The 9,580-nt window shown below is 53.0% G+C and overlaps 1 protein-coding gene across 1 annotated transcript in view, besides 1 other annotated feature; it reads right to left on the reverse strand.

The window, feature by feature from the left end:
- The window catches only part of RBFOX3 (RNA binding fox-1 homolog 3), a 576,227-nt gene extending 573,972 nt beyond the window's left edge, over positions 1 to 2,255 (reverse strand). Inside the window, exon 1 of the mRNA XM_024450593.2 lies at positions 2,055 to 2,255. The gene's annotated coding sequence lies outside the window, so the exon portion shown is untranslated. The remainder of the gene's footprint in view (positions 1 to 2,054) is intronic.
- Positions 8,107 to 8,613: an enhancer, noted in NCBI's record as "H3K4me1 hESC enhancer chr17:77645285-77645791 (GRCh37/hg19 assembly coordinates)". NCBI's record gives its function as "activates a minimal SCP1, AML or CMV promoter by ChIP-STARR-seq in primed H9 embryonic stem cells {active_cell/tissue: H9 hESC(primed)}" and the evidence as "EXISTENCE:reporter gene assay evidence [ECO:0000049][PMID:30033119]".

Genomic DNA, 9,580 nt, shown 5'->3' on the forward strand with positions numbered 1-9,580 from the left:
TGCCAGGAAGAATGAATCTATTCGCCTTTTCATCAGATTTCAGACTCTTAATGCAGCCAAAGAGCTTCTTCCCACTTAGAGAAGAATTCGTTTCTGTCTCCACAATGAAGTCATCCTGGGCTGAGGCTGTTCTCCTCCCAAGTCCTTTATAGGGGGTCTGACCTTGCCAAGGACTTCTGAGATGCAAACATCACAGGGTGTTTCCCCCAGAGAAGATTCTGCAGACACCTTGTGCCCCCACATACCTGTTCCTCATTCTTTGCCACTTCGCCCAGACCTCCCAAAATATTGACACAGCTCTAGTTTCATCTGCAGACAGAATACTACTTGTGTGTAACTTGCTGTCAATCAAGGATGTATTTGGCCCCCCTGACCCTCAGCCAACAAGGAAAGTTGAGTTGCTGTGCATGGACACAGTTCATATTAAATTGCATTGGAAGTTATCCTACTAGAAGTTAATAACGCAGTAAATCTTGGGGCGGGGGTGGGGTGATGTGATAACATTGGCCAATCAATCCCCCAAGGATCTTTTGTAAGTTTGAATTTACGTAGAACAATACAAAATTCCCTTGAAGCCCAATCTTCGTGTTGAGTATAAAGCTTGGGAGAGAACTGAGGCGTGAAACTTGAAATCCAGAAAGGACCAGGGAAGAGGGAAAGACGCTGACTACCAAGGAAGGCAGGTCCCGACGAGCAGGCCTCGCCAGCCCCAAAAAGCCTCCGTGTTTGTCTTTGGGGTTCCTGCACTACTGGAAACACCTCTGCTCGGGTGGGAGAAGGGATGGGAAAGACACAGAACAGTTGGGAATACTCTGCTTTTTTTAAGTGTGGTAAAACACAACGTTAAATTTACCATTCTTACCTTTTTTTTTTTTTGAGATGGAGCCTCACTCTGTTGCCCAGGCTAGAGTGCAGTGGCGCAATCTCAGCTCACTGCAACCTCCACTTTCCAGATTCAAGCAATTCTCCTGCCTCAACCTCCCGAGTAGCTGGGATTACAGGCACGTGCCACCATGCCTGGCTAATTTTTGTATTTTTTTTTTTTTTGAGATGGAGTCTCGCTCTGTCGCCCAGGCTGGAGTGCAGTGGTGTTATCTCAGCTCACTGCAGGCTCCGCCCCCCGGGGTTCACGCCATTCTCCTGCCTCAGGCTCCCGAGTAGCTGGGACTACAGGCGCCCACCACCTCACCTGGCTAATTTTTTGTATTTTTAGTAGAGATGGGGTTTCACTATGTTGGCCAGGCTGGTCTCGAACTCCTGACCTCAGGTGATCCACCCGCCTCGGCCTCTCAAAGTGCTGGGATTATAGGCGTGAGCCACCGCGCCCGGCCTACTCTCACCATTTGTAAGTGCACGGTTCAGTGGCATTACCTGGCCATTGTTGTATAGCCACCACCTGTCCATAGAACTCTTCCATCTTCCCAAACTACAATTCTGTCCCCATTAGATGACACCTCTTACTCCCTCCTCCCCCCGGTCCCTGGAGACCACTGTTCTCCTCTGTCCACAAGGAGGGACCTTCTATAAGTGGAATCACACAGGATTTGTCCTTTTGTGACTGGCTTATTTCACTTAGCATAATGTCCTCAGGGTTCATCCACGTTAGAGCACGTGTCAGAATTTCCTTCCATTTTTAAGGCTGAATTCTATTATTTTCTGGAAAGATCATAGTTTGTTTAACCATTCATCTGTCTATGGACACTGGGGTTGCTTCCATCTTTCGGCTGGGAAATCCTGACACTCCTTGATCCGGCATTCAGATTCAGATATTTGAGTCTTCAGGTGAACAAACAGGTTAGACAGGGCCCTATGCAAGCCCCACACCCGCCCACAAATCTCTGTTTCACTCTCTTCAAATCGGCAAAGGAGAAGCAAGATTTGTCCTGAGCTCTCGAGACTCTATCAGAATTTTTATGTCCCTTTTACATCCCCTTTTTATCTCTCTTACTTGTCATTTTCCAATAGCTTTTGCCAGAAGAGCACACGGGACACATTCTACACAAACTTTTATCATTTCACCGAGATGGGGCCAGAGCTGCACGAAATCTCCTTACCTGGGAGGGGCCTGGAGAGGAGCGGAGCAGAGAGGAGGGGCCTGGAGAGGAGCGGAGCAGAGAGGAGGGGCCTGGAAACCGACGCCGGGGTCTGAGCTGCGGCTTTGCCAGTGACTTGGGCAAGACCCCTGGCCTCTCTTTGCCCAAGTATAAGTGGGGCCTTGTGCCTCTGGCTCTGACAGGCTTTGGGATGTGTTATCTGAGGACTCTGCACAGTTGCATGGGCATAAAAAGCGGCTGCTCCACAGCCCCACGGGATCCGCGCCAAGTGTGTGCACGAGGCCAACAGTGGCTCACGTGAAGCCTCTGGCTGCCAGCCCCAGACTTCAGAAATGGTAGGAAAAGGGCCTGGCGCGGTGGCTCATGCCTATAATCCCAGCACTTTGGAAGGCCAAGACGAGTAGATCACCTGAGGTCAGGAGTTCGAGACCAGCCTGGCCAACATGGCAAAACCCTGTCTCTACTAAAAAAAATAAAAAAATAAATAAATAATAATAATAATAAATAAAAATCAGCCAGGTGTGGTGGTACACAGCTTTAATCCCAGCTACTCAGGAGGCTGAGGCAGGAGAATCACTTGAATCCAGGAGGCAGAGGTTGCAGTGAGCTGAGATTGTGCCACTACACTCCAGCCTGGGTGACGGAGCAAGACTCCATCTCAAAAAAAAAAAGAAAAAGAAAAAATGAATGGTAGTAAAAGGAAGCTTTCTCCAGGACAAGGGACTGGAGGGTCAGCAGTGCAGGGGGCCATTGCTGCTGCTTTATCCAAATTACATCCCCGGGAGCTCTCATCACTGTAGACTCAGAGTAACTACCAAAGGCTGAACAGGTAACAGGTGCCTGGCCGCGAGAGGCTCTTTACTGATGACAGCGTGTTAATCTCCACAGGAGGTGTATCGTGTCCATTTAAAGGCCAGGAAATTCGGGGCACAGAGCTAGCAGGTCATGTGCACAAAGCCACATAGTTGGTCCCAAACCCCTGTGACAGGGACAACAAGCTGGCCCCAACAGACATGGGGCTCCCTGGCCCCCAAGGTGGGTAACCAGGGGGAACTGCACTCCCCACCCATATTAGTCCGTTTTCATGCTGCTGATAAAGACATAGCCAAGGCTGGGTACTTTATAAAGAAAAATAAGTTTAATAGACTCAAAGTTCCACGTAGCTAGGGAGGCATCACAATCATGGTGGAGGGTCACAAACACGTTTTACATGGTGGCAGAAAAGAGAGAATGAGGCTGGGTGTGGTGGCTCATGCCTGTAATCCCAGCACTTTGGGAGGCTGAGATGGGTAAATCACCTGAGGTTGGGAGTTCGAGACCAGCCTGGTCAACATGGTGAAAGCCCGTCTCTACTAAAAATACAAAAAATTAGCCGGTGTGGTGGCAGACACCTATAATCCCAGCTACTCCGGAGGCTGAGGCGGGAGAATCGCTTGAAACCAGGAGGCAGAGGTTGCAGTGAGATCATGCCATTGCACTCCAGCCTGGGCAACAAGAGCAAAACTCCATCTCAAAAAAAAAAAAAAAGAGAGAGAGAGAGAGAATGAGAGCCAAGCAAAAGAGGTTTCCCCTCATAAAACCATCGCATCTCATCAGACTTACTCTCTACCATGAGAACAGTATGGGGGAACCACCCCCATGATTCAATTATCTCCCACCAGTTTCCTCCCACAACACATGGGAATTATGGGAGCTATAATTCAAGATGAGATTTGGGTGGGGACACAGCCAAACCATATCACACTCCACCCCCACTGCATGAGGACGGAACTACGTGTCTGGTTCTAGCCAAAGGAGTGGAATTGAAAAAGTGTGGTGTCTCTTCCAGGATGAGGGTCCACATCCCCATCTTGGAGAGGACACTGTCACAGAAGGAGGAGCGGCTGAGCCTGTCTTGTGAAGGACACTGTGAGAAGAGAGCAAGCGTGCATGTGGTGTGCTATGTTGCAGGAGGTGGGGACTGCTTGTCACAGCAGTTAACAGGACTGACTGATACACCTCCTGCCCAAACCCCAGGGTGACCTCTGGCCTGGTGAATTGGGTCAAGGCAACCGTTTCGGAGGGAGGCCTCATGGTGTGGGCCATTCCCATGCCTGCTCCTCACAGACGACTCTAACATGGGACGCAGCCACACACTCTCACTGCTGGAGAACGGCTCCGCTCAGCCTCCCTGGGTCGGTGTGGCAAGCCTCTGTGGAGAGCAGATATGTGCCAGGAGCTCGTGGTACAGAGAGGAATAAAACAGCCTTTGGCCTCAGGATGCTGATGAGATAAACGAAGACAGATGGGCCATGGGTGGGAAGACAAGGCCCCCGGACACTTGGCCCAACCAGAAGCTCAGGAAATGCTTCTTGGGCAAGGGGAGTCCTCAGCTTGGTCTTAAAAGATATGCACCATGGGCCAGGGGCAGAGAAGAAGAGAGGGCAGTCCAGGCAGAGGGCACGGCACGAACAAGGCACAGAGGCGGATGGAGGCACACTCAGGGCCAGCACTCGGGGGCGTTGCAGAATCAGACCTGGCCCACAGACCTGGAACCTGCCAGCTGTGCCTGGCAGCATAGAGATAGTCCTGGGCAACCAGGAGCACTGGCAGCTGGTTACAACAGGGGAGAGGCATGAGCGGGTTCCCATGCTAAACACGCCAGCCTAGTGCAGTGCAGGGCATGATGTGGGGGACAAGGCTGGAGGCCAGGAGACCATGGAGAGATGGCCCCTACGGTCCTGCCAGTGCCCCTGCTTCTGAAAGGCATGCAGCAGGCACAGACCAGCAGTGGGTACCCGAAGGAAAGGAGACAGAGAGATCAGGTCAGATTTGAGACAGCTTCAAAACATCAACACAGCAGTGTTCTCGTAAATGGTCACCTGCCACCTGGGACAGAAATAGAGGGAATTTCAAAATCCATCTTTCTCTCAAAAAAAAAGACCCCTTGATGAGGCCACAAGGGACACTTGCCCGTTATTCCTACTTAGCAAGAAAGAAAAGGCAGCAGCTGTCATGCTTAGAGAGGGACAACTGTAAGGTCTCTGAATTCTCTCCTGGCAGCCTGAGAAGAAAGGAGCACCTGAGCAGGGAGGAACAGCCTCAGCAGCAAGGAGCACCTGAGTGGGAGGAACATCTAAGCAGGGGGAACACCTGAGAGGGTGGATCAGCCTGATTGGGAAGAGCACCTAAACAGGAAGGAGCACCTGAGCAGGGAGGGACACCTGAGTGGGAGGAGCACCTGAGTGAGAGGAGCAGCAGTGAGCCCCAGCCAACTGCAGCTGTGCTGTCCAACGCACACACGCCAGCCTGGGGACTCGCTCCCCTCCACCTCCTCCCCTCTGATCCCAAACACTCTTTCTGCTGACTTGGCAAATGCCCCGAGACAGATTCTCCCTTCCCCCCACCAAGCTGCTCTTGCTCCTGCTGTGTCACTGAGCCAGCTGCTGCCATTTTGAGGGCATGCCATCATCCGGCCAGCCCACAGGCCACTGGTCCTCCTTCAGCCCAGGCCCCCACGCCTCAGGAAGCTCATTTCCAGATGTGCGGGATGACGGCACCCTGGCTTACCTGGGCTCAGCACGGGGGCACTTTCCAGGCAGACAGCATATTGGAGACGGCTTCTTCCCACCTGGAGGGGACCCCAGGAAAGCTGGTCCTCATTCTTGACGGACCTTGCAGGATGAGGGTGGATCAGGTCTCAGAATCCCGGTTGGATGGGCCTAAGGAGGGAATGGGGAAACTGAAGACACGCTGCCTGGTTGGATGCATGTGCGCTTCTCAGGACCCCGGGCTGCTGGCGGGTCCCTGGGAGTCTGAGATGGAGCTGGGTCCTGCTTAACCATCAGGGAGCACAAGATCACCCCACTCGTGCTTTCCTTTAATTGTTGCAATGAATGCTTATGACCTGCCCACCTGCCCTCCAGGCAGGTTGACAGATGAAGAAATCAATGGACAGGCCCAGGCTCCAGGGAAAAGCTTCTGGCCACTGGCAAGGCTACGAAACAGCGCCAAGTTCCAGGAGCCCAGGAATGGAAGGATAACCTTTAGTTAGAGGCACACAGAAGGCTTCCTGGAGGAGGTGACATTTGAATAGGGTTCTGAGGGATGTGCAGGATTTCAAACGGAGGAAAGAACCAGGCCCATGTCCCACACAGAGGTCCTGGGCCAACGCTGCCCAGGGTGAAGAAGATCAAACGGTGACAAGATGCACGTGGGGACGGGGAAGCCATGTAGGGACGCTGCCAGCCAGAAGTTCACTCAGTTATTCAACAAACATTTATTGGCTGCGAGGACTGAGCTGGAGGCACTGAGGCTACAAACTGTGTGACTCAGTGCAGCAGCAAGGCTGAGTGGTGAGGAGGGTCCAGGGCACCAGGGGACTGAAGACAGAAGCCAGACGTCCAGGAGCCTTCCAGCAGGCAGCTGCCGGAGACCCTGGACAAGAGGTGAGATGGGGCCAGCCTGTGCCTTCAGAGGAAGACAGTGGCAGCTACTTGCTCATCTGGTGGGTCCCCAGGAGGGAATTCAAACATTGTCCCCATCCTCACGACAAGTACACTCAGGGTGACCAGAGAAACTTGGGTCACAGTGGCCAGTGGGCTCCTGGGGAGAAGCTGTGGGGACTGCAGGTGACTTCTCTGCCCATATGAATTATTGACACACCCAGCCAGGTCCACTGTGTTCCTACAACCTGTGCTGTGGCTGCCCCTTGCTCATCACTGTCCTGAGTTTCGGGTGCTGCCTCCAGCCACAGGGGTGAGTTTTCCTATGAGCTGGCAAGGCCTGCCCATGTGCTGGTCGTCCTGGCCGGGGGTTCAGGCTCCACCCTCCCACTTCCCTCTGCATTCACTGGCCCAGCTGCTGGAGTAGTGACTGCTGTGCACCTCTCATCAGATGCAGATTGGGGGAAATCAATGGGGTTAGGTCACCAAGGGGGAGACAGGGTTGGTGGCAAAGCCCCTTGTTGCAGGTCCTGCCCAGTAGGAGCCCCAGGGAAAGCAGGCTCCTCCTGGCTGCCGTGCATTTGAAGGATAAGGAGGCAGCTGTCCCTTCCAGAATGCACTTAGGGATCTCAGTCTCTTCATGGGGGGAGGAAAGGCCACTCTCAGCTGCAATCTGAGGTTCAACACAGCCTCAAAATGAAGCAGCCTCCTTCACCTGCAGGGTGAAGGTGGCAGTTGGCGCCTGCCACCGCCAGCCATCTCTGCAAGTTGAAAATCCCTGGGAGGTTCCTGAGACACAAATCAATGGTGATGAAGACTAAAACTGGAGCTGTGAACCCAGAGAGGACCGGGCAGCTGAGGAGTCATCCAGGGCAGCCCAGCCAGGCACGTGTCTGGCCCCAGCTGCCCAGCACCCGGCCTGCCAAAGACTCACACCCACCCCAGCCCAGCAGGAGCCACTTCAGTCCCTGAAACTCCAGAAGACACACGTGCGCACGCGCACACACGCTCATCCCATTATTATCTTGCTGCACCGGCTGAAATTTATTAGCAGCAGAAGCGTCAAGGCCCTTTCCCAGAGCTTTCATGCTTTTCTACAAAGTAATCTTCCACGGGTGCTTCTGTATTCCTTCCCTGTGCGGTAGAGCAACATCTCAGCCGCCAGACCCTCTGAATGCTAATTTATTTCAGGAGTCGGAGCAGTTGGCTCCAGGAGGTCCTCCTGGCAGGGAAGGGAGGGAATAAAAGGTATTTCTCTCTCCAACTCTCCAACTGCAGGCTCCAGCTGCCCCCACGGTGTTTACCTCCCTTCTCACCCCACCGGGAGGGAGCAGAGCAGGGTGTCCATGGGGGCTGCAGGGGGGTTGGTGGGGGACAGTAGCCCAGCCCACACCCACAGCTCCCTCCTCCATCCAGGCTCAGAGCCATGTTCCCAATGTGAGGCCCCTCGGGAATGAAGCAGACACAAATGGCCATGCTTTCTGGGCGAGACAGCTGCGCCAGCCTCATTGGGGGCCTGGAAATTGCTTCTGTCTCAGTGGCATCCGGAGAGCCATTTCAGAGGATGCTGACAGGCCACATGCATCCTCCATGGAGGGGAGAGGCACGGTCCTGAGTCATGGAGGAGCACAGACAGACTGACACTGCATAGGTCTGGGGACTATGGAATCGAGTCAGAGGCAGGTCAGCCCCCAGAGCCGCTGCTCCACCACTCAAAGGCTCCACACATCTCCCCTGGCAAGTGGAGATACCCAATGGGCCAGCCTCAGGCCCCTCCCAGCACCAGGCCCTGCTGGGTCGTGGGTCCACGGTGCCCCTGGTGGGAGACACGCAGAGCACACAAACGAAACAAGTAATGATGTCATTGTAGGTGCCTGTGTGGGCTCTGCAGAGAAGAGAAGTCACTTCTGGTGGAAGTAACTGGCCACCGCAGGGCTGCTGGGCATCTTTAGGTTGTCGGGAGGCCTAAGCAGAGGACACTGGAGTTGAGACCTAAATGACAGGGAGGCACAGCCACCAGCATTTGTGAGTGAAGCAGAGCCCCCAGGAGACTGTGTGTGTGCACCTGCATGCACGCATACACAGGCCTAGATGCCCACATGCTTATGCAAATGCACAGACACACATGGATGCACACATACACCTACATGCAGTGCATGCGTAGATGCTCACATAGACACACAGACACACATGGATGCACATGTACCTATACACATGCAAATACATAGAGATAGGTGTATCAGCACATATACAGGTACACATATATCTACAAGTACGTAGATAGAAACTCACACATATACGTACTTGCACACATACACACATATGCACATAAACACATACACACATTGATAGATGAATGCATATGCATGTACACAGGCACACACATAGATGGACACATACACATAAATGTACATAGGTGCATATGTGTTTATACAAACATGAACACACATGTATATCTCTACACATAGATATATGCATACTTTTACATATACACACATGCATGCACATACATATACATGTACACATGCATATACACACCCACAAATGCATGTATAGGTGCAAATACACATGCGTGCATATTACATGTAGATACAATTGCATATATACGTATTCATACATGTGCGTGTCACACATACATGTACCATACACAGGCACACATATGAAGGGACTTTTCTACAGCGATTTGATGTCGCACCACAACCGAGGAGCTAGTTAAGCCATCTCTGTGAGGAGCTTGAAGTCCACAAGGGAGACTGTGGGAAAGGGACAGTGATGTCAGGTGGAGTGTGGGAGGTGGGCGAGAGTGAGGAACCCAGGTACAGGCTGGAGCCCACAAGGATGGGCTGGGGCCATGGCTGTCCTTGCTGCCTCTGAGCATGGTGGTGTGGGCATCCTGCAGAAGCCAGGCCCTCGCTCACAGAGCCAAACACCCACATCTGGCTTGGGAGCAGGCTGTGCTGGAGGAGGATCAGGGTTGGAGGAGGATCAGGGTTGGAGCAGCTGCAGCGCAGCCACTGTCTCTGCTGTTTGGGGGCCAAGCTGTGCGGCAGGGCCAGCACTTAGGAGGTTTCACCCTTTACCCAGCACCAGGTGGAAAGGATG

Source organism: Homo sapiens, chromosome 17 (assembly GCF_000001405.40).
Source record: "Homo sapiens chromosome 17, GRCh38.p14 Primary Assembly".
NCBI lineage: Eukaryota > Metazoa > Chordata > Mammalia > Primates > Hominidae > Homo > Homo sapiens.